Here is a 24,690-nt window from a genome sequence, read left to right as displayed (position 1 = left end):
TTTTTCTTTCTTTTTTTTTTTTTTTTGAGATGGAGTCTCGCTCTGTCACCCACGCTGGAGTGCAGTGGCGCGATCTCTGCTCACTGCAAGCTCTGACTCCTGGGTTCACGGCATTCTGCCACCTCAGCCTCCCAAGTATCTGGGACTACAGGCGACCGCCACCACGCCCAGCTAATTTTTTGTATTTTTAGTAGAGACGGGGTTTCACCATGTTAGCCAGGATGGTCTCGATCTCCTGACCTCATGACCCTCCCGCCTTGGCCTGCCAAAGTGCTGGGATGACAGTCGTGAGCCACAGTGCCCGGCCTAAGAATTCTATTTCTAATAGTATGGAGAACACCCATAGTCCTTGGCATGAACTGTTTAGAGAGTTATGCAAAATAAATGCATCTGATACTCCTGATTCACTGCTCGTGAGAGGCAAGGAGTTTAGTGACTTGAAACATAATACCTTTGACCATATGTGGAGAACCAAGGAACATAATAAAGCTGGTTGGTTGCTCCTACGTTCACTGGACAAAGTGATGAAAGAAAAATGATGAGCTCAGGGATTCATTTTCAGCTTCAGAAGTAGTACTGAGCCTCACACCTGCTAGATTACCCTGTGTAAGAGTCTTATCTCCTATAGAGAAAGAGCTGAAATTGTGGAAAAATAGACACAAGCTCTTATCATGTGAGTGGCTGACCTGCAACGAAAGGTGCATGCACAGCCTTTCCAGGTGTCTACTGTTAAAGTGAGGGGATTGACTGGAAAAGAATGGGACCCTGCAACTTGGAATGGGGATGTGTGGTGGAGGGCCTAATGAAGCTGGGGACACTGAGCTTGTTAACTCTGATGAACCTTTTTTGCCAGAAGAAACAGCTTCTTCATCCCCAGTAGTGGCAACATCCCCTCCCCAACACATGCTGCCATCAGCCTTTCCACCTTTGTCTGAGGAGATAAACCATGCGCTGCCTGGAGGCAACAGTGATGGCCTCCTCTGAGGCAGTTGCCAGGCAAAATAACGTTGATTCTCCTCAGGAGCCACCCCCAACACCCCTGTTTGCTTCTAGACCTATACCTAGACTAAAGTCCCAGCAGACCCCTAGAGGTGAGGTTCAGAGTGACCCTTGAGGAGATGTGCTACACTAGAAAAGAACTGCTTGAGTTTTCTAATTTATATAAGCAGAAATCTGGAGAAGAGTCATAGGAATGGATATTAAGGGTGTGAGATAATGGCGGAAGGAATATAGAGTTGGATCAGGCTGGACTTATTGATTTGAACCCACTAAGTAGAGATTCTGCTTTTGATGTTGCAGCTCAGGGAGTTAAAAAAGGTTTTAATGGTTCTAATAGTTTATTTGCTTGGTTAGCTGAAATATGGATAAAAGATGGCCCACTGTGAGCAAGCTGGAAATGCCTGATCTCTCTCAGTTTAATGTAGAGGAAGGGATCCAAAAGTTTAGGGAGATTGGATGCTGGAGTGGATTGGTCACTTTGGACCTACCCATCCCAGCTGGGAGGGTCCAGAAGATACACCCTTGACCAACGCTTTGCGAAATGGATTTGTGATGGCGGCAACTGCATCTCTGAAGAGTCCTGTAATTGCTCTTCTCTGTATGTCAGATCTAACGGTGGGAACAACAGTCACTCCACCACAAAATTTATAGGCCCAGAAACCCTTGAATGAAGGGGAGGCTGGGTCCCCTTGAAAAGGACCCCACTATGCTAGTGACTATTTATGCTGTTAATATTTCTCCCATCCTTCCCCAAGGAGACCCCCAGTCTATTACCAGGGTAACTGCATTGAAGAAAGGGAAATGATCAGACATTTTGGGGACTACTGGACACTGGCTCTGAGCTGACATTGATACCAAGGGACCCAAAATGTCATTGTGGTCCTCCAGTTGAAGTAGAGGCTTATGGAGATCAGGTAATTAATGGAGTTTTAGCTCAGGTCTGACTTACAGGTCTGACTTCCTTCCTTGGAAGGAAATCCAGGGACCCACCCTGTGGTCATTTCCCAGTGCCAGAATGCATAATTGCCATAGACATACGTAGCAGGTAGCCAAACCCCCACACTGGCTCCCTGACTTGTAGGGTGAGAGTTATTATGATGGGAAAGGCCAAATGGAAACCATTAGAGCTACCCCTACCTAGAAAAATAGCAAATCAAAAACAATATCACATCCATGGAGGGATTGTGGAGATTAGTGCCACCATCAAGGACCTGAAAGTCTCAAGGGTGGTGATTCCCATCACATCCCTGTTCAAGTCTCCTATTTGACCTGTGCAGAAGACAGAAGGATCTTGGAGAATGACAGTGGATTGTTGTAAACTTAACCAAGTGGTGACTCCAATTGCAGCTGCTGTACCACATGTGGTTTCATTGCTTGAGCAAATTAACACATCTCCTGGTACCTGGTATGCAGCCATTGATTTGGCAAATGTCTTTTTCCCCATTCCTGTCCATAAGGCCCACCAGAAGCAATTTGCCTTCAGCTAGCAAGGCCAGCAATATACCTTTGCTGTCCTACCTCAGGGACATATCAACTCTCTGGTTTTATGTCATAATCTTGTTCGAAGAGACTTTGATCTCTTTCGCTTCCACAAGGTATCACACTGGTCCATTACATTGATGACATTATGCTGATTGGATCCAGTGAGCAAGAAGTACCAAACACACTGGACTTATTGGTGAGACATGTGCATCCAACCAAAATTCAGGGAACTTCTACCTCAGTAAAATTTCTAGGGGTCCAGTGGTATGGGGCCTATTGAGATATTCCTTCTAAGGTGAAGGATAAGTTGCTGCATTTGGCCCCTTCTACAACCAAGAAAGAGGCACAACGTCCTGTGGGCCTATTTGGATTTTGGAGGCAACACATTCCACATTTGGTTGTGTTACTCTGACACATTTAGCAAGTGACTCAAAAGGCTGCCAGTTTTGAGTGGGATCCAGAACAGGAGAAGGTTCTGCAACAGGTCCAGGCTGCTGTGCAAGCTGCTCTGCCACTTGGACCATATGACCCAGCAGATCCAATTGTGCTTGAGGTATCAGTGGCAGATAGAGATGGTGTTTGGAGCCTCTGGGAGGCCCTCATAGCTGAATCATGGCAGAGGCTGCTAGGATTTTGGAGCAAAGCCCTGCCATCTTCTGCAGATAACTACTCTCCTTTTGAGAGACAGCTCTTGGCCTGTTACTGGGCTTTGGTGGAAACCAAACCTTTGACTACGGGTCATCAAGTCACTGTGTGACCTGAACTGCCTATCATGAAGTGGGTGCTTTCTGACCCATCTAGCCATAAAGTAGGTTGTGTACAGCAGCATTCCCTCATCAAATGGAAGTGGTATATACATGATTGGGCTCGAGCAGGTCCTGAAGGCACAGTTAAGTTACATGAGGAAGTGGCTCAAAGGCAGAAGTGGCTCACTTCTGCCACCCTGCCGTCTCTCCCCCAGCCTGCACTAATGGCCTCATGGGGAGTTCCCTATTATCAGTTGACAGAGGAAGAGAAGACTAGGGCCTGGTTTATAGATGGTTCTGCACGATATGCAGGCACCACCCGAAAGTGGATAGCTGCAGCACTACAGCCCCTTTCTAGGACATCCCTGAAGGATAGCAGTGAAGGGAAATCTTCTCAGTGGGTGGGACTTCAAGCAGTGCACCTGGTTGTGCACTTTACATGGAAAGAAAAATGGCCAGATGTGCAGTTATATACTGATTCATGGGCTGTAGCCAATGGTTTGGCTGGGTGGTCAGTGACTTGGAAGAAGCATGATTGGAAAATTGTGACAAAGAAATTTGGGGAAGAGGTACGTGGGTGGACCTCTCTGAATGGTCAAAAACTATGAAGATATTTGTATCCCATGTGAGTACTCACCAACAGGTGGCCTTGGCAGAGGAGGATTTTAATAATCAAGTGAATAGGATGACTCGTTCTGTGGACAACACTCAGCCTCTTTCCCCAGCCATCCCTGTCATTGCCCAATGGGCCCATGAACAAAGTGGCCATGGTGGCAGGGATGGGGGTTACACATGGACTCAGCAACATGGATTTCCACTCAGCAAGGCTGACCTGGCCACGGCACTGCTGAGTGTCCAATTTGCCAGCAGCAGAGACCGACACTGAGCCCACGATATGGCACCATTCCTGGGGGTGATCAGCCAGCTACCTGGTGGCAGGTTGATTATATTGAACTGCTTCTATCGTGGAAAGGGCAGAGGTTTGTTCTCACTGGAATGGACACTTACTCTGGATATGGGTTTGCCTATCCTGCACGCAATGCTTCTGCCAAGACTACCATTCATGGACTGACATAATGCCTTATCCACCATCATGGTAATCCACACAGCATTGCCTCTGACCAAGGCCCTCACTTTACAGCTAAAGAAGTGTGGCAGTGGGCTCGTGCTCATGGAATTCACTGGTCTTACCATGTTCCTTATCATCCTGAAGCAGCTGGATTGATAGAATGGTGGAATGGCCTTCTGTAGTCACAATTACAATGCCAACTGGGTGACAATACTTTTCAGGGCTGCGGCAAAGTTCTCCAGAAGACCATGTATGCTCTGAATCAGCATTCAATATATGGTACTGTTTCTCCCATAGCCAAGATTCATAGGTCCAGGAAGCAAGGGATGGAAGTGGAAGTGGTACCACTCACCATCACCCCTAGTGATCCACTAGCAAAATTTTTGCTTCCTGTTCCTGCGACATTACGTTCTGCTGGTCTAGAAGTCTTAGTTCCAGAGGGAGAAACGCTGCCACCAGGAGACACAATGATTCCATTAAACTAGAAGTTAAGATTGCCACCTGGACACTTCGGGCTCCTCCTAAGTTTAAGTCAGTGGGCTAAGAAGGGAGTTACAGTGTTGGCTAGGGTGATTGACCCAGACTATCAAGACAAAATCAGTCTACTGCTCCACAATGGAGATAAGGAAGAGTATGCGTGGAATACAGGAGATCCCTTGGGGTGTCTCATAGTATTACCATGCCCTGAGATTAAGGTCAATGGGAAATTACAACAGCCCAATCTGGGCAGGACTACAAATGGCCCAGACCCTTCAGGAATGAAGGTTTGGGTCACTTTACCAGGAAAAAAACCATGACCTCCTGAGGTGCTGTTTGGTAACATGAAGTTCTTCAGTGGTGATTTCTGAGATTTTGTTGCACCCATCACCCAAGCAGTATACAGTGCACCCAATGTGTAGTCTTTTATCCCTCACCTTCCCATCCTTCCCTGCAAGTCTCCAGAGTCCACTATATCATTCTTAAGCCTTTTGCATCCTCATAGCTTAGGTCCCACTTATAAGTGAGAACATACAATGCTTGGCTTTCCATTCCTGAGTTACTTCACTTAGAATAGTGGTCTCCAACTCTACTTTATTTTGTTCCTTTTTGTGGCTGAGTAGTATTCCATATTATGTATAACATATACCACATTTAAAAAATCTACTTGTTGGTTGATGGGCATTTAGGCTGGTTTCATATTTTTGCAATTGCGAATTGTGGTGCTATAAACATGTGTATCCAAGTGTCTTTTTCATATTATCACTTCTTTTCCTCTGAGTAGGTACCCAGTAGTGGGATTGCTGGATCAATGGTAGTTCTACGTTTAGTTCTTTAAGGAATCTCCATACTGTTTTCCTTAGTTGTACTAGTTTACATTCCATCCAGCAGTGTAAAATTGGTCCTTTTTCACCATATCCATGCCAACATCTATTATTTTTTGTTTTTTTAATTATGGCCATTCTTGCAGGAGTAAAGGAGTATCTCATTGTGGTTTTGATTTCCATTTCCCTGATAGTGATGTTAAACATTTTTAAATTTTTTCTGCTATTTGTATATCTTCTTTTGAGAATTGTCTATTCATGTCCTTAGCCCACTTTTTGATGGGATTATTTGATTTTTCTTGCTAATTTGTTTGAGTTCCTTGTAGATTCTGGATATTAGTCCTTTGTCGGCTGCATAGTTTGTGAAGATTTTCTCCCACTCTGTGTGTTGTCTGTTTACTCTGCTGATTATTTCTTTTTCTGTGCAGAAGCTTTTTAGGTTAGTTAGGTCCCATCTATTTATCTTCGTTTTTGTTGCATTTGCTTTTGGGTTCTTAGGAAGTCTTTGCCTAAACCAATGTCTAGAAGAGTTTTTCTGATGTTATCTTCTAGATTTTTTTTTAATGGTTTCAGGTCTTAGATTTAAGACTTTGATCTATCAAGTTGATATTTATTTATATAAGGTGAGAGATGAGGATCCAGTTTCATTCTTCTACATGTGTCTTGCCAATTATCCCAGCATCATTTGTTGAATAGGGTGTCCTTTCCTCACTTTATTTTTTTCTTTCATTTGTCAAAGATCAGTTGGCTGTAAGTATTTGACTTTATTTCTGGGCTCTCTATTCTGTTCCACTGGTCTATGTTCCTGTTTTTGTACTTGTAGCATGCTGTTTTTGTGACTATATCCTTATAGTATAGTTTGAAGTCAGGTAATGTGATATCTCAGGATTTGTTCTTTTTGCATAGTCTTGCTTTGGCTATGCAGGCTCCTTTTGAGTTTTATATGAATTTTAGGTTTGCTTTTGCTAGTTCTGTGAAGAATGATGATGGTATTTTGATGGGAATTGAGTTGAATTTGTAGATTGCTTTTGGCAGTATGGTCATTTTCACAATATTGATTTTATCCATTCATGAGCATGGGATGTGTTTCCATTTGTTAGTGTTATCTATGACTTCTTTTAGCAGTGTTTCATGGTTTTCCTTGTAGAGGTCTTTCATGTCCTTGGTTAGGTATATTCCTAAGTATTTTATTTTATTTTTTGCAGCTATTGTAAAAGGGGTTGAGTTCTTGATTTGATTATCAGCTTGGTCGCTGTTGGTGTATAGGAGTGCTACTGATTTGTGTACGTTGATTTGGTATCCCAAAACTTTGCTGAATTTATTTATCAGGTTAAGAACTCTTTGGATGAGTCTTTAGGGTTTCCTATGTATATGATCATATCATCAGTGAACAGCAACGGTTTTACTTCCTCTTTACTGATTTGGATGCCCTTTATTTCTTTCTCTTGTCTGATTGCTCTGGCCATGTCTTCCAGTCCTATGTCAAAGAGAAGTTGTGAAAGTGGGCATCCTTGTCTTGTTCCAGTTCTCAGGGGGAATACTTTCAACTTTTCCCTGTTCAGTACAATGTTGGCTGTGGATCTGTTGCAGATGACTTTTATTTCCTGAAGGTATGTCCCTTCTATGCCAATTTTGCTGAGGATTTTAATCATAAAGGATGCTAGACTCTGTCAAATGCTTTTTCTGCATCTGCTGAGTTGATAATATGATTTTTGTTTTTAATTCTTTTTTATGTGGTGTATCACATTTATTGACTTGCATATGTACCTGCATCCCTGGTATGAAACCCACTTGATCATGGTGTATTATCTTTTTGGTATCCTGTTGGATTTGGTTAGCTAGTGTTTTGTTGAGGCTCTTTGCAGCTATGCTCATCAGGGATATTGGTCTGTAGTTTTTGTATGTTATGTCCTTTTCTGGTTTTGGTAGGTGATAGTACTGGCTTCATATAATTATTTAGGGAGGATTCCCTCTTTCTCTATTTTTTGGAGTATTTTCAGTAGGATTGGTACCAATCTTTCTTTGAATGTCTGATAGAATTCAGCTGTGAATCCATCTGGTCCTGGACTTTTTTTTGGTCAGCAATTTTTAAATTACTCTTTCAACACCACTACTTGTTATTGGTCTGTTGAGAGTTTCTATTTCTTCCTGTTTCAATCTGAGAAGATTGTATATTTGCAGGAATTTATCCATTTCCTCTAGGTTTCCTAGTTTGTGCACATAAAGATGTTCATAGTAGCCATGAATGATCTTTTGTATTTCTGTGGTATCAATTGTAATATCTCCCATTTCATTTCTAATTGAGCTTATTTGTATCTTCTCTCTTCTTGATTAATCTCACTAGTGGTCTATCAATTTCATTTATCTTTTCACCGAGCCAGTTTTTGTTTCATTTATCTTTTTTCTTCCCTTGTTCGATTCTATTGTTGAAACTTTCCAGTGTATTTTGCATTTCTCTAAGTATGTCTTTCATTTTCAGAAGTTGTGATTGTTTTTTCTTTATGATATCTGTTTCTCTGGAGACCTTTTCATTCATATCCTTTATTGTTTTTTAAATTTCTTTAAGTTGGTTTTCACCTTTCTCTGGTGCCTCCTTGAGTAACCCGATAATCAACCTTCTGAATTGTTTATTTGGCAGTTCAGAGATTTCTTCTTGGTTCGATCCATTGCTGGAGAGCTAGTGTGATCTTTTGGGGGTGTTATAGAACCTTGTTTTGTCATATTACCAGAATTACTTTAACTGGTTCCTTCTCATTTGGGTAGACTGTTTCAGTGGAAAGATTTGGAACTCAAGGGTTACTGTTTAGATTGTTTTGTCCCATGGGGTATTCCCTTGATGAGATGCTCTCCCCCTTCCCCTAGGGACGGGGATTTCTGAGAGCCAGACTGCAGTGATTGTTATTGCCCTTGTGAGTCTAGCCACCCAGCGGAGCTACTGGCCTGCAGGCTGATGCTGGGGACTGTCTGCCAAGAGTCCTGTGATGTGATCCACGTTCAGGTCTCCTAGCCATGGATACCAGCACCTGCTCCAGTGGAGGTGGCAGGGGAGTAAAGTGGGAGTCCTTGGTTGTAGCTTCATTTAGTGCACTGGCTTTCTCAAATGCTGGTTATGCTAGCAGTGAAGTTGTCATGTGAACAGACTCAGTACTTCTGGTTAACCAGGATATTGCAGGCAGTGGAATTAGTTGTTTTCTTCTTTAGGCAGTGGAATTAGTTGTTTTCTTCTTTAGAGCAGGGTTGTTCTTTTATCAGTTTGAGTTGATTGGTCTCCAGCCAGGAGGTGGCCCTGTCAAGAAAGCACTAGCTGCAGTAGCAGAAGGGGGGATATAATATTGCCCTACATTGGCCAGGATGAGTACTTGGGTTTCTCAGGTGATGGGCAGGACCATAGAGGTCCCAAGGGTTTATGTCATTTGTCTTTGGCGACCAGGTCTGGTAGAGAAAATCCATCAGGTGAGGACAGGGTTAGGGTCTGAGCTCAGACTCTTTTTGGGTGGGGCCTGCCATGGCCACTATGGGGTTCTCAGGCTAATGGAATTATGTTGCCAGGGGGATTATGATTGCCTCTGCTGCATCATACAGTTCGCTAGGGAAAAGCCAGCACTGACAGGCCTTACCCGGCCGGGCGCAGTCGCTCATGCCTGTCATCCCAGCAGTTTGGGAGGCCGAGGCGGGCGGATCACGAGGTCAGGAGATCGAGACCATCCTGGCTAACACGATGAAACCCTGTCTCTACTAAAAATACAAAAAATTAGCCAGGCGTGGTGGCGGGCGCCTGTGGTCCCAGCTACTCAGGAGGCTGAGGCAGGAGAATGGTGTGAACCCGGGAGGCGGAGCTTGCAGTGAGCAGAGATCGTGCCACTGCACTCCAGTCTGGGTGACAGAGCGAGACTCCATTTCAAAAAAAAAACAAACAAACAAAAAAAACACCACAGGCCTTACCCATCTTCCATGAAGCCAGCAAGGCCAGTCTCACTCCTACTGTGCCCCCCCAACAGCACTGACTTTATATCAGTTCCTATCCAGGCAGCCGGTGAGCAGGACTGAGATCTTGCCCCAGGCTATAAGCCTCCCTGCTGAGAAAGCAAACATGGCTCTCAGGCCTCACCCCTCCCCACCTGCTCACACCTTTGGCTGTGCTCATATCTGTTCTTCCTGTTCACCACCCCCAAGCTCCTGGATTCTGCTCAGGAAAATTCATGCTTGTCGAAAATATTACAAAGTTCAGCCGGGAGCTTCCTTCACCCTGTGACTCCCCTCCAGTTCTGCTGGGTGCCTTCCCTTCCCCAAAGACCTCTGTGAGATAGGCCAGGAATGGCTTCCCTGGACTCAAGCTGGGGACTCGCTCTTTCCGGTGCTTCTTTTCTCGGTACTATTATATTTTGCTTGGCTCCTGAAATCCATTTCAGCTCTAGGTAAGGTTAAATCCTTCTCCCGTGATCTGAATTTTCAGGTTCCCAGAGGGGATGTGTGTTTGGAGGCAGACATTTTTCCCTCTCACACTTTGGGAACTCACAGTTTTTGGCTGTTTCACAGAATTTGCAGTGGCAAACCACTTGTTTCAAAGGGTCTTGAATTCTTTTGGTTTTCCCGGTATGTTCCTGTGGTGGTTCTTGGAGCAAAAATTCACAGTGTGAGTCTCCACATGCTGTTCTGTTCATCCAAGTGGGAGCTGCATGTTAGTCCTGTCTCCTATCTGCCGTTTTATCTCAGTTTGCCAGATAATTATGTATCCTAATCCACATTTTGCTTGTTTTTGATAAGTGTTTTCTTAACATCTATTTATTTATTTTTGCCCAAGTGTCTAAGAAAACAACGCCTGTAAACAAGATAGTTGAAAAAACTTTCTCCATTTAATTCTATTCGAAGTAATTGTATCTGGGGTAAAGTCTGACATTGGTCTGAAGCAGAACTGGGGAGTGGAAAAGCTATACCTGGTTAAGTAGTCTCTGTATCTATAATCAGGTATAATGATGGAGTCCAGAAGCTTACTGAGAAAATGAGACTGATGATATTGTCATTTGCATGCTCTGATGACACATGGTTTGTTGATGTACAGTAAACATAGTAAATATGGTAAGTATCAATTATAAATCACTAGCCGAGGCACACACGGCATGTTTATTTCATGGCTGCTGCTTTATAAGCACTGACATTGTAACTATTGGTGGTGTTGTGATGTTAATGGTAGTACTAGGTAATGACTAAGTATATGGACCCTGGAGCCATCTTTCCTGGTTCTGAGTCAGTCCTCCACCACTTAATAGCCATTTGAGTTGAGCTTTAGAGTCTTTGTTGGTAAATGGGTATGATAATAGTACCTACCCCACTAGGGTCACAGGCAGTAACTTTTAACTATTATTATTGTTGTTGCAGTTACCAGCTGGTATAAACGTGTAAGTATATGTAGCATGAGGCATTGTAGTATAGTCCAAAAAATTCAGACCTTGGTGTTAGACTAGATTGGTTTCTTTCCTCAGTGTACATACTTCTGCTTAGTTGTGGCACCTCAGGAAAGCTACTTCACTTTTTGGAGCTTTAGTTTCTTCCTCTATTAAATGGTATTTACTGTACGTGTTTATTATGAAGATAAGAGTGTATGAGTGCCTACTTTAGAGGCTGATGTATAGTAAATGGTTGACAAATGATACTTTTATTTGTTTTAGGGTTCATGGGTTTGCTTAACAACTCAGGCTGACATGGGTCCTTAGTCATGAGAGGTAACCCTGAGCTGCTGTTTGCTATAAATAAGGCTCAGAATTTCAGTATGATCAAATAGGGTCAGACCAACCTGGAACCAAATTAGGTTGGTTGATTGGCCTTTGGAATAGTTATTTTAAATGTAATTTAAGCCTCTATAACTTTTTTTTTTTTTTTTTGGTATTTTCTCTTAGTAAGAGAAAAATTTTTAGTAGACTTTTCTTTCTTTTTTTTTTTTTTCAGCATGCATGCAGTTTATTCGCCACATTTCCCCCAGGAACTCTCTCTGGTTAGGGAATGAAAGAATTGAAGGAATGGGGGATGTACAGGTGGAAGTAAAAGGCACACCTTGAACGTGCTATGATGGGTTGAAGGGTTGAAAAGAGGTTGGTCTGAAATTGATGAGCCTCCCATTTCAGAAGCTCAGGAAGTTTGTGTCCAGGAAATATGCATGCCTTCAGCCAAATCCCTTGCACCTGATAGAGCAGAAGCAGGCACTGCCTACCCTGGCCTGGGCTGTCTGCTGGCTCTCATGTCAGGCATTTTCTGGGCCTGGCTGTCGCAGCTAGTGGGATCACTAACATTGCATGGCCATGGCGTTTTGGCCTAAACAAACAGGTGAGGCCTGGCTCTGTCTACACAGCAGCAAAAAAGGTGACTGATTAGCAGGAGATCTGTAGTGCACAAATAATGGGAGAGGGTGGGCTTGTCAGCATTAGATAATGACTCCAAAATGTAATGTAAACTCACAAGGAGGGGGTGACTCAAGGCTGGACACATGACTAAGTAAGAAAATGTGACTCTGTGAGCTGACCCAACTTCTAAACAAACCTCCTAATACAGTCACAGTGTGTTTCAGTCCCCTTGACTCTAAACCATCACAGAAGCAGAAGGAAGAGGAAGTGGTGGACTGCACAGCTGGAGCCTGGGGACTGTCATGACTGTCTAGATCTCTGAGGTCAGAGGGTGTCACAGCCTCCTCAGACCCTGAACCTGGGATGGAGAGGGGGAACAGGATATAGATTCCCAGGAGGGCTGTCCCCAAGGCCCTCTCCCTGCCTGTCTGGCTCCTCGGGCCTCCTCTTCTACCGCTTCTTCTTGGTCTCTTTCTTGGGCCTCTTGTTCACAGAAGGAACAGTAGCCTTGGGCTTCCTCGTCACCTCAGCACTTCTGAGCTCAGATGGTTCAGCCTCCACCTCGTGGAACTTGGGAATGGGTATGATGATGGCCAGCACACAGATGAGCTGGAAGATGGCTCCCAGGAAGAGTCCGTACCATAGCAGGTTCTCCAGGAAAGTGGGCTCAGGCACCTCCAGAGGTGAGAAGTCTAGGTCAGAGGCCATGGCCCAAGTCGCTTGCTGCCTGAGGTCTCTTCTGACTCACCACTCTTCAGAGCCAACTCTCACGCTGCTGCCCTTCTCCCCCGGAAGAGTAGACTTTGTAGGTTTACAGCAAAATTGAACAGAAAGTACAGAGGGTTCTCACATAACCTCCTACCTCCTTGCATGCACAGCATCCCATTCTTCAACATTCCCCACCAGAGTGGTACATTTGTTAGAATCAATGAACAGACATTGACACATCTTTATCAGTCAAAGTCCACACTTTACATTAGGGTTCATTCTTGGTTGTACATGCTGTGGGTTTGGACAAATGTATAATGACTTGTATTCACCATTGCAATATTGTAAAGAATAATTTCCGTGCCATAAACATTCTCTGTGCTCTGTTTATTCATTCTTCTCCTCTGCTTAACCTATGGTAACCACTGATCCTTTCACTGTCTCCATAGTTTTTTCTTTTCCATGTCAAAAGACAAAATTACAACAAATGTAGTTAAAGATCAAATTGTTTTTTATTTGTGATTCATGAATCAGGAAAGCATCCATTCTACAAAATACAGTGAGCACTTTCATGGGGCCATGGAAGAATAGTGGGTTTTGTAAGGAACAAAGAAACAGAACAGTAGGAAAAAAACTGATTGATTAACATCAGATTACTTCAGGTTACTTTTCTAGAAAGGGTAAAAGCAGAGAGAACCGGCCAGTGTGGTGGCTTACGCCTGTAATCTCAGCATTTTGGGAGGCCAAGGTAGGAGGATTGCTAGAGCTAAGGATTTTGAGACCAGCCTTGGCAACATAGTAAGATCTCCATCTCTACAAAAAAATAAAAATAAAAAATTAGCTGGGAGTGGTGGCATACATCTGTAGCCCCAGCTCCTCAGGAGGCTGAGCTGGGAGGGTTGCTTGAGCCCCGGAGGTTGAGGCTGTAGTGAACCATGGTTGTGCCACTGCACTCCAGCCTGGGTGACAGAGCAGAGCAAGACCTGTTTCAAAAAAAAAAAAAAAAAATGCAGAGAGGACTTCCTTACTCAGGTGAACAGGAATCTCAAGTTTTCAGGAAAAACTGCCCTGTTTGTGGATCTACCTCCTTCGTTAAAGTTTCAGTTTGATTAAGTGGTACTTAGCATGAGTGACTGTTTTGGTTTGATCTGGTCTGCTGAGGCCTAGTATAGGAGCTCAGTCAACAACGGCCTCCTGTAATTTTTATTTAACATCCAGAATGACATATAGTTGAAATCATACATTATTTAGGTTTTTCAGATTGGCCTCTTTAAGATAAAATTTTAACCTATAAATTATGTTTGTGTCGAAAAAATATATCTGGGAAGATTGCCCTCTTGAACCAACTTGCAGATTCCTTCAGGGAGCTGGGAGAAAGGAAGGGGACTTGTGCCCCGTCAACCAGATCATCAGCCAGCCCCCGGGCTTAGTGTGTTGATGTGTTGTGGCTGAATTGCTCTCACACCTTCCTTCTCATGATATTTTTAACTGTATTGGACTAAGTCCACAGTGTAGAGTTATAAATAGGTCTTGGGGGAATGACATGGTCATGCTAATAATTAGGTGCCTCTTCAACCCTGTGTCTGTAAATATGTGTTCCATGTTTGTTCATTGGAGAGGCCGAGTCCTGTGTGGGAGATAAGTTGGCTGGGCTTGGCACACGGCATTTAACAGAACAAAACCTTACCATTAACCAGACCTTAAAAGCCAGTTTGGTGATTACGTGTTGTTTTAAATCTCATCAGTCACTCTCTCCTCTAGTAGCTTATCAAAATATTTCTTCCAGTTTGGATCAGTTTCTGGCAGATACCTATCTTGATCTTGATACACTCCCACTGATGTTGTAGTGCTTCTTACAGATTTGCCCTGGGCAACTGCCTAACTGGCCATTGCCAGCCTAACGTGTTCATCTGGCTCTTACCTGTGTGGAACTTAGACAGAGTTGGCTTTTCCTTCTTGACTTGGAGTTACGGTCCCTAAGGAAATAACTTGGATCTGTCCCTGACAAAGGAGGGGAAGCCCCTCCATGCCTGCACAATTCCCTTCTATATATTGTTCATGGATAGATGAACTGAAAAGATTTGTTTGCCACTTTCTGTTCTGCCTCCTGTCTTGAGTATTCCTCTGGGAGATAAAGAGTGGAAAGAGTCCAGATGCGGTGGCTCATGTCTGTAATCCCAGCACTTTGGGAGGCTGAGACAGGCAGATCACCTGAGGTCAGGAGTTCGAGACCAGCCTGACCAACATGGTGAAAACCCATGTCTACTAAAAACACACAAAAAATTAGCCAGGTGTGGTGGTGCATGCCTGTAATCCCAGCTACTTGGGAAGCTGAGGCAGGAGAATCGCTTGAACCTGGGAGGCTGAAGTTGCAGTGAGCTGGGATTGCGCCATTACACTCCAGCCTGGGCAACAAGAGTGAAACTCCATCTCAAAAAAAAAAAGTGTAAAAAGAGTGGAAAGGGGGTAGGAGAAGAAAGACTTAAGGATTTATGAAGAGGCAGACTTGGGTCTAGACACTCAGATGGAGCAACATCTATGAACATCTAGGAGGCCAGTCATCTTGGGCAGGGGTTAGCAAACACGTTCAGTAAATAGCTAAATACTAAATATTTTAGACCTCGAGGGCCAGATGGTCTCCATCATGTCTACTCAACTCTGCCACTATAGCACCAAAGCAGCCATATGTAAATTGCAAAGGAAAGGGCATGGCTGTGCTCTAGTAAAACTTTATTTATGGGCACATGTCCATTCTTACTTAGCTTGCTAGCCACACAGAGACATGTAGTGAGCTGAATGTGGCCTGTGGGTGGCAGTTTGCTGACCTGAGGTAGGATAATATAAGAAACCTGATGTTAATAAGTTTTGAAGTATCTCTGCTGCCTGTGTATTCTCTGTAGAGATCCTTTTCATGCTCACTTAGCTAAGTGAAAAATAACTGGAAATGCTAAGTGAATCCAATGAGCGGAAGGGAGTTGTGCTGACTTTTGGGCAGTAGAGAAGTATTCCCCCTGGAGGCTGGCTGGGATAGTGGCGCAAACAGCACAGTGAGAACCACAGGGCAATGAGAGACTGCTGGCTACACACCACAGATTCAGTCTTTCATTCTCTGCTGATACTGGTGGTTTTGTGTTTGGTTTTAAAAGGGGAAGCCAATCTTTTTTTTTTTTTTAATTCTTTCAGCAAGGCAATTTACTTCTGCAGAAGGGTGCCACTTGCGTCAATCAAGATCGCAAGAGCACAGAGAACAAAGGAGACCAGGGGGTTTTTATCCTCAACGCAGTCCCTATCTCTGTGCTACTCCCCCTTGGGCTGGGGTTGGACTGCACAGTTTGAGCTGACCCAATTGGCTACTTGTACATATTTTTTTAAATATAGAAGGGGAGGGGGACAGAGGTGGAGCGTGTGAGATGTGCAGTTTCAGGGGAACATGGGGTGCAGGTAACCAAGGGAACAGATGTGAGTTATTGATTAGAGCTGACGGGAAGCGGGTAGGCTGTTTATGGTAACTAGGCGCAAGGAAGAACAAGATAGTTGAGTTTGAGGACAAAGTATAAGGAAATTAACAAGCTAAACCCTATAAGAGAAACTCAGAAAGACTTATTGTGTCTTACCTGACAGTTGAAGAAGCATCTATCTGTAGGGAATCCAGAAGGAGCGTTCATGAAGGTATTACAAGCCCGGAAGAAGCACACGAGCACTGAGCTGACTACTGAGCTGGAGGCGGCCTCAGACAGCAATGGCATCAACTTGTCAGGCTTTGGGAGTGAGCAGCTAGACATCAATGACGCACTAAATTACGTCTTGCCTTATTTCTCATAGAAAAATCTATAAGATGTAGAATCAATGTTGTTACTGTTAGGGACGAGCTGCCCCAGGAACCGCCCCCGCAGTGCAGCTGACCCTTACCCCGAATACTCTGCAGCTGCATTCCTGAACCCTTATCTAGGTGCCACAGCAAGGTTGCCGACTTGCTACACTAAGCAAACCCTGCTTACAGCCCTCCAGGTGGCACAGGGAAGGTCATGAGAAATGTGGATAAATCTAAGTTATACCCTCTTGTAAATTCCTCCGGTCATGAGACGATATGTGGTAAAGTTAACTGAAAAGACCAAGAAGCAGCTTCTCCACTCCTTCTGGGATCTCTATCTGGTTCGGCCTTCCTGCCCCCACTCCTGCCTCCACCATGTCCATCAGGGTGACCCAGAAGTCCTACAAGGTGTCCACCTCTGGGCCCCGGGCCTTCAGCAGCCACTCCTACACAAGTGGGCCCAGTGTCCAGATAAGCTCCTCAGGCTTCTCCCTAGTGGGCAGCAGCAGCTTCCAAGGTTGTCTGGGCGGAGGCTATGGTGAGGGCAGCAGCGTGGGTGGCATCACCACCATCACAGTCAACCAGAGCCTGCTGAGCCCCCTTAACCTGGAGGTGGACCCCAACATCCAGGCTGTGCGCACCCAGGAGAAGCAGCAGATCAAGACCCTCAACAACAAGTTTGCCTCCTTCATAGACAAGGTATGGTTCCTGGAGCAGTAGAACAAGATGCTGGAGACTAAGTGGAGCCTCCTGCAGCAGCAGAAGATGGCTCAGAGCAACATGGACAACATGTTCCAGAGCTACATCAACAACCTTAGGCAGCAGCTGAAGACTCTGGGCCAGGAGAAGCTGAAGCTGGAGGCGGAGCTTGGCAACATGCCCGGGCTGGTGGAGGACTTCAAGAACAAGTATGAGGATGAGATCAATAAGTGTACAGAGGTGGAGAATGAATTTGTCCTCATCAAGAGGATGTGGATGAAGGTTACATGAACAAGGTAGAGCTGGAGTCTCACCTGGAAGGGCTGACTGACGAGATCAATTTCCTCAAGCAGCTGTATGAAGAGGAGATCCAGGAGCTGCAGTCCCAGATCTCGGACACATCTGTGGTGCTGCCCATGGACAACAGCCGCTCCCTGGGCATGAACAGCATCATCGCTGAGGTCAAGGCACCATACGAGGAGATCGCCAACTGCAGCCAGGCCAAGGCTGAGAGCATGTACCAGATCAAGGATGAGGAGCTGCAGATGCTGGCTGGGAAGCACGAGGATGACCTGCAGTGTACAAAGACTGAGATTTCTGAGATGAACCGGAACATCAGCCAGCTCCAGGCTGAGACTGAGGGCCTCAAAGGCCAGAGGGCTTCCCTGGAGGGCACCATCACAGATGTCTGCAGCACAGGGGGCTGGCTGTTAAGGATGCCAACGCCAAGCTGTCCAAGCTGGAGGCCGCCCTGCAGCAGGCCAAGCAGGACATGGCATGGCAACTGCTTGAGTACCAGGAACTGATGAACATCAAGCTGGCCCTGGACATCGAGATAGCCACCTACAGGAAGCTGCTGGAGGGCGAGGAGAGCCAGCTGGACTCTGGGATGCAGAACATGAGTATCCATACAAAGACCACCAGTGGTTATGCAGGTGATCTGAGCTCGGCCTGTGGGGGCCTCCCAAGCCCCAGCTTTGGCTCTGGTGTGGGCTCCAGCTCCTTCAGCCGCACCAGCACCACCAGGGCAGTGGTTGTGAAGAAGATCGAGACCCATGATGGGAGGCTGGTGTCCTAGTCCTCTGACGTCCTGCCCAAGTGAACAGCTGCGGCAGCCCCTCCCAGCCTGCCCCTCCTGCGACTCTCCCAGAGAGCAGAAGGGAGCACAGGGAACGTGAGACCCACCTGAGGCCCAGCCCTAGCCCTCAACCCACCCACAGGGTAGTTTACTACCTGGGGACCCCCCATGCCTATGCCTTCAGCTACAAAACAATTCAATTGCTTTTTTTTTTTGGTCCAAAATAAAACCTCTGCTAGCTCTGCCAACAGCTAACCTTATAGTTACCTGTTTTTTTCAAATGTGAAAGATGGGTATTCCGAAAAACCATACAAAGAGTCCCTCTCTTCAATCTGCATCCAAAAACTCATGAAATTAGAAACTGTCCAACCACAGGAAAACAGCCTGGCTAAGATTCAAAGTGTAGGCAAAAGCCTGCAGAGAGTGAACAGAATCCTCATGGGCCCAAGGAGCATCCAGAAAAGTCACTTCAAAGAGGTGGGAAAGCAGAGCAACAGGAAGGAACAGGGTGCCTGGGCATTTGTGGAGAATGCTGCCAAAGAAAAAAGGCTCAGGAGTCCAGCCCCAAGGGAGCTGGAACAGCCTCACATAGAGCAGGGGCATGAGAAGTTAGCAGGAAACGCCATCTATACCAAGCCTTCGTTCAACCAAGAGCATAAGGCAGCAGTCTTCTCTTTGCTGAAACCCTTCTCCATGGGCGTGCCTTCTATCTCCACCCCTGCAAAAGCCCTACCTGTGGTCAGAAACAGATTGAAAGACTTACCCATTTTGGTTTTAGAAAATGCAAAGTTGAGTTAAAACCAATCGTACATTCCAGAAAAGTTCTCTCAGTAGACTTTGCTTGCAAAGAGGCCTCCATTCTCTGCAGTGAAAAGCCTCATAAATGCCCCTTCACAAGGGGCTTTTTCATCTTTAGGAGACCTGAGTCTTCAGGAAAATCCTTTTCCGGAAGTATTTCTCCATCAGAATGTTTTAAAAGCACCACTGCAAGAAATGCCTTTGAACAAAACATTTTTATGGAAAACACTACTATGCCAGAAGGCACCATCTCTGAAAACACAACCTACAACCATCCTCCTGAGGGAGATTCTGCTGAGACTGCGTTCAACTTAGAGAAGACTGTGAAACACAATGGGAATACAACAACATGGGCACTGGCCTGTCTCCCGAGCCCAAAAGCTTCAATTACCCATTGCTCTCGTCCCCAGGTGATCAGTTTGAAATTCAGCTAAACCAGCAGCTACGGCCCCTCATCCCCAATAATGATGTGAGAAGACTCATTTCTCATGTTATCTGGACCTTGAAGATGGAGTGCTCTGAGACCCATGTGCAATTGGCCTATACCAAGCTCATCTCCAGGACAGGCCTCCTGATTCATCAGTGAGCAGCAAGAAGTAAAGATGTCCAAGGCAGAATGGGATACAGACCAATGGAAAACTGAGAACTATATCAATGAGAGCACGGAAGCCCAGAGCAAACAGAAAGAGCAGAAGTCAAGTGAGGTGAGGACCACACAGAAACATGAAACCCAGATTTTCCTATCATTTAGCATCTTCCAGGAAAGTGCCCACACAGGAGAACCTGGGACTCCCAGACCATAGTTTGTCTTGGCCATGTAACTTCAGCCGTGACAGTGATCTCCCACTTTGCTCATTTAGAGAGTGAAACAGGTTAGTACACAAGATAAACTGTAGGCCGGACATGATGGCTCATGCCTGTAATCCTAGCACTTTGGGAGGCTGAGGTAGGTGGATCACTTGAGGTCAGGAGTTTGAGACCAGCTTGGCCAACATGGTGAAACCCTGTCTCCAAGGGGAAGCCAATCTTAATGCCCACCAATTTTCTTTGATAATGAAGCTGTATTATTTATATCTCAGAGGATTATTTCATTTCAGGTAATTTGTTGGAATTTTCCCTTCACATTTTTCAGTATTAACGATCTGTCCCCTCTTTGTACTACTAGGCTAAAAGTTCGTTAATTTTTAGGTGATAAATAGCTGTTGTTAATAATTTATTTTATGTTTGTTTTATTAATTTATTTGTGCATATTTAACCATCTACCATAATTTTTACCTTGTATCAACAGGATTCTTACTACAGATTTAATGACCTTAACTACAGATGGGTCTCTTTGGATAACTGGACCTATAGCAAAGAATTTAAAATCCCCTTTGAAATTAGGTATGTATGTTTGTGGGTGTATTTTTATTATTATTTGAACTTTTCTTCTTTTTCTATCTGGGCAAAAATGTTGTGTTTTGTTTGTTTTTTTTTTGTTTTGTATGTTTTGTTTTGTTTTGTTTGTTTAGGTTACATATCTGAGAGTTAAGTAAGATGAAAGCCTTGTACTATAAAAGTGAATATATTATTTATGTTTTGTTTTGTATATGAGGATGGTGCTACTAATCAACAGTCACCAAATTGTGTCTTATGGAGTCATTTTTCCAGTGGTTATGCCCTATGTAGTGCTAACCAGCCATTGAGACTATGACCTTGACCTATACTATGTGGTGAAGCCAGGAGGTGAAGCACAGATACTGTTTTCAGTAATGTTCTGTTATTATAAGCAAATATTTCCATATGAGGTAGAATGTTACCCAAAGGTACCACCACTACTGCTAAATGAAAAAAAAAATCCTTCTGTCCCTTTTATGTGATTTTTTTTTTTTGGTAATTATTTACTAGTCTTTTAAAGGGGGGAAAAGGCCAGAATATTGTTATCAATATCATGGAGTTACTGCTGTGCTCCAGGCTTTTATTTACAGATAATATTTAGAATATCTTTCGTAATGGTTCTATTTCACCTTGAACTCAACATATCCAATTGATTTTCCCCCTTAAAACTAACTTTATATTCTAACAGCTTCATTGTTTTTCTTGATGTAACACCATTTTCCAGTCTATGTCTAAGGTGCTTTGGGCTTATTACATCTTTTCTTCATCTTCCTGTGTTCAGTCTGTTCTGGGTGGGTCTTGCAAATTTTTGTTTAACATTTCTCTTGGTTTGGCCCCTTCCATCTCATTTCCATCTTTCCATCTTTGCCTAGAAGAGTGCCAGGAAAGAGGCCAAAGCTGCCTAATCAAATTTCTTGCTTTGTTCTTTTATTCTCCAATCTTTTCAATTTAGAAACATTAGATTAATCATCACAGAATATTGATTGTGCCAAGATAGGTATTCGTTCAAGAATAGCAAGTGTCTATTTTACTTGGCAAATCAAGTATAAACTTCTCACTTGTCTGTGAAAATACAGCTGAAAGATGTCTGTCCCTGTAACACTGCCCGCACCTCTCTGCCCCTTGGATTTGTCCAGCTTTTTCCTCCTTAGCTCCCCAGCCCAAATTACACATATGAGTCGATTACCTAAAAGTAATTCATGCTGTCAGCACTTCCTTGTTTTGGTTTTGCTCTTTGCAGGGGTAAGGGGTTCCTGCAAAGAGCAAAGGGTATAAGGGGAGTAGAAATGCCTCCACCCAGTCATTTCTACCTAGTTTTAAAAAAAATACTTTATTGATATATAATTAACATATTGTACAATTCAGTCATTTAAGGTATATAATTCAATGGTTTTTAGTATACTTACAGTTACAAAACCATCACCACAATCAATTTTAGAACATTTTCCTCATCCCCCCACAAAAAGTTACACCCATTAGCAGTCATTTCCCATTGCCCACTCCTCCTGCCCCTGAATTCTTACCCCAGCCCTAGGAACCACTAATTTACTTTCTGTCCCTCTGGATTTCCTTGTTCTGGATACCTCATATAAATGGAATCATACAATATGTGGGCCTTTGTGACCGCCTCTTTCACTTAGCATAATAATGTTTTCAAAGTTCATCCATGTTGTAGCATGTATCAGTACTTCATTCCTTTTTATTGTTGAATAGTATTTTATTGTATGAATACAACACATTTTATTTATTCTTCTCTTCATTAAGTTCTTGTTTCCATTTTGAAATCTTTTCTTATGAGATAAACTCTGATAGCACTTGTAGTTGTTCAACAATATTGCCAGCCAGCCACCAAATGCCAACCAGATTGCAGACTCCTTAAGTACAGGCACTGTTATAGTTTCCTGTAAGGCTTAGCAGAGTGCTGGGTGCATAATATTCACTTATAGATGATAGTTTTCTAACGTGTTCTCTTAGACAGGGTCAGTAAATGTAGTTTGTGAGAACATTTTATGTCTATTATTTAACTTGGTTCTCATTTTTTTTTTTTTTTTTGAGACGGAATCTTGCAAGTGCAGTGGTGGGATATCCACTCACTGCAACCTCCGCCTCCTGGGTTCAAGTGTTTCTCCTGCCTCAGCCTCCCTAGTAGCTTGGATTACAGGCACCCGCCACCACGCCTGGCTAGTTTTTTGTAATTTTAGTAGAGACAGGGTTTCGCCATGTTGGCCAGGATGGTCTCGAACTCCTGACCTCAGGTGATCTGCCTGCCTAGGCTTCCCAAAGTGCTGGGATTACAGGCGTGAGCCACTGCTCCTGGCCTAACTTGGTTCTCATAATAGCTTTCTGAAGTATTAACTAGAAAAAGTCAATATATTTGGAAATTATAAGTTGTGCTCTTGGTTTTATGGTGATTTATTGATACATTATAGAGAAAGATAAGCTGGATCACTCAAAGGACGTAAGTATGTTTTAAAGCAGTACTTCTGAAAATGTCACTGGAAACTGCCTTTTAAGAACATATATTTTTTGTGGAATATTTATTTCTTTAGGCCTTAAATAATAAAAAAGAGACTTATCTAAGTTAATGCTTTACACATCTTGTTTTAAAAATCTTTTCTTTTTTTTAGCAAATGGCAAAAAGTAAATTTGATTCTTGAGGGAGTGGATACGGTTTCAAAAATCCTGTTCAATGAAGTCACTATTGGGGAAACAGACAATATGTTCAATAGATATGTAAGTATATAATGACATTAGGTTAAAAAAAATTTATGTGTGTTTATGTTAATTGCTTTTGTGAGTAGAGAAAAGTAAATGCATAATTGGCCATGTGACAAATATGAGCTCATTAAAGCACTGGATGAGTTACTTGATTTCTCAGTTGCCACATTTGTGGAATAATGGAAACCTTACAAACCCCATGGGGTTAGTGTGGGGATTTAGTAAGCTAATTGTATAAAATGTTGGCAAGTTCTTGGCACATAGGAAGTGTTCAAAACATGCCAATCCCTCCTCTGCTGATACAGTTTCATTGGACAAATGATTTTAAAATAAAATGTCATTTCCTTTCTGGAATAGTTATATTAAGAGATTATATGCTGATCTTCCTTTCCTTTCAAAGGTAGACTTTTCAAAACAAAAATAACTCATTACTTAGAAATGCATGCTGTTCATACCGGAGAGGCAGGTTGTCATGAAGTGTCTAGGAAACCCTTGGCAGTTCAAGGCCACATATAAGTAGACAGAGCAGACATTCCAGAGCTAAAGTTATTTTTTGCTCTATCCATTTCCCTAGGACCATCATTTTGCCAGGAAAAATAGAAGGAGAAGCCTAGAAACTTGGATTGGGTAGGAAAATATGCTTAGTTTTAACTAAAAGTGGGCAACTAAGTGATAGATACTACAGTGTTTCAGAGAAGTGTTCCCTCCTGCAAGGAGGCTAAACCTAGATCGGCATTATATTATGTGTCTTTCATACAAAATGCCTTTATCTAAAATTTTACACACAAGACTACTTCCACATCATGGGTTTGTCTGATTGTTCCCTTTAACTTAGAGCTTTGATATTACCAACGTGGTCAGGGACGTGAACTCCATTGAGCTGCGTTTCCAGTCAGCGGTGTTGTATGCAGCACAGCAGAGCAAAGCTCACACTCGCTACCAGGTTCCCCCAGACTGCCCTCCACTTGTGCAGAAGGGTGAATGCCATGTCAACTTTGTTCGGAAGGTAATGGTCTCTCAAACAGGTCGGGTTTTATTTTTGAGGACGGGGTGTGCTGGCATATGAAATGCTTATTTGAAGACTCCCATGGCATTTCAGAAGTTAGGAATCTCTTTCCTGATCCCTTAGTGGGGTTTGAAAATTTGAAATAAGAACCAAAAGATTATTTGAAATATTGTGGAGAATCTTTATCTTTTTCTAAGTTTTCTTCCTGAAGCGTGTTCAGAACTTAGGTAACAGAAAAAGAAAGGAAAAATATGTGGCTGATAATGGAACTTTACAAATTATTTTTTTAACATTTAAGTTTATCAAACTTTTCACCAGATTGTGAAAATGTATTAGTGATTCTTGTTTCTAGGAAGCCCTCTGCAAATATTAGTATATTTGATGATATGTTCTTGCATCTTACTGTCAGGTTCTCATAAAATCTAACAAAAAGATAACAAAGTCCACAAAAGTAATTATTTTTCTTAGAGTATGATTCCAGTCTAAGAGGACTTGGATCTATTTTACTACATGATTGAATCAGTATTCTATGTGACATTTGGTTTTTTAATGTTTATTTCATT

The 24,690-nt window shown here is 43.4% G+C and overlaps 1 protein-coding gene and 3 pseudogenes across 4 annotated transcripts in view, besides 2 other annotated features; 3 read left to right on the top strand and 1 right to left on the bottom strand.

Moving 5' to 3' along the window:
• MANBA (mannosidase beta) overlaps nucleotides 1-24,690 on the top strand; it is a 130,199-nt gene that overhangs the window by 13,971 nt on the left and 91,538 nt on the right. For 2 of the 4 annotated variants that reach the window (XM_047415692.1, XM_047415693.1), the window contains exons 2-5: nucleotides 16,262-19,730; nucleotides 20,315-20,409; nucleotides 23,031-23,136; nucleotides 23,957-24,127. In XM_047415692.1, the coding sequence (XP_047271648.1) occupies nucleotides 19,629-19,730; nucleotides 20,315-20,409; nucleotides 23,031-23,136; nucleotides 23,957-24,127 (474 nt within the window). In that variant the 5' untranslated portion in view covers nucleotides 16,262-19,628. Of the gene's footprint in view, nucleotides 1-16,261; nucleotides 19,731-20,314; nucleotides 20,410-23,030; nucleotides 23,137-23,956; nucleotides 24,128-24,690 lie in introns of those variants that run through there. The other 2 variants (NM_005908.4, XM_047415694.1) reach the window with 2 other exon arrangements.
• Nucleotides 11,539-12,727, bottom strand: LOC100288914 (mannosidase beta like pseudogene; annotated as a pseudogene).
• Nucleotides 12,385-12,434: an enhancer, noted in NCBI's record as "active region_21756". NCBI's record gives its function as "activates an Ori minimal core promoter by ATAC-STARR-seq in GM12878 lymphoblastoid cells {active_cell/tissue: GM12878}" and the evidence as "EXISTENCE:reporter gene assay evidence [ECO:0000049][PMID:35858748]".
• On the top strand, nucleotides 16,277-19,724 carry LRRC37A15P (leucine rich repeat containing 37 member A15, pseudogene; annotated as a pseudogene).
• Nucleotides 16,522-17,516: an enhancer, noted in NCBI's record as "H3K27ac-H3K4me1 hESC enhancer chr4:103650639-103651633 (GRCh37/hg19 assembly coordinates)". NCBI's record gives its function as "activates a minimal SCP1, AML or CMV promoter by ChIP-STARR-seq in naive H9 embryonic stem cells {active_cell/tissue: H9 hESC(naive)}" and the evidence as "EXISTENCE:reporter gene assay evidence [ECO:0000049][PMID:30033119]".
• Nucleotides 16,751-18,476, top strand: KRT8P46 (keratin 8 pseudogene 46; annotated as a pseudogene).

Source organism: Homo sapiens, chromosome 4 (genome assembly GCF_000001405.40).
Source record: "Homo sapiens chromosome 4, GRCh38.p14 Primary Assembly".
NCBI classification, from domain to species: domain Eukaryota; kingdom Metazoa; phylum Chordata; class Mammalia; order Primates; family Hominidae; genus Homo; species Homo sapiens.
This window is presented reverse-complemented; position numbering and strand designations above follow the sequence as displayed.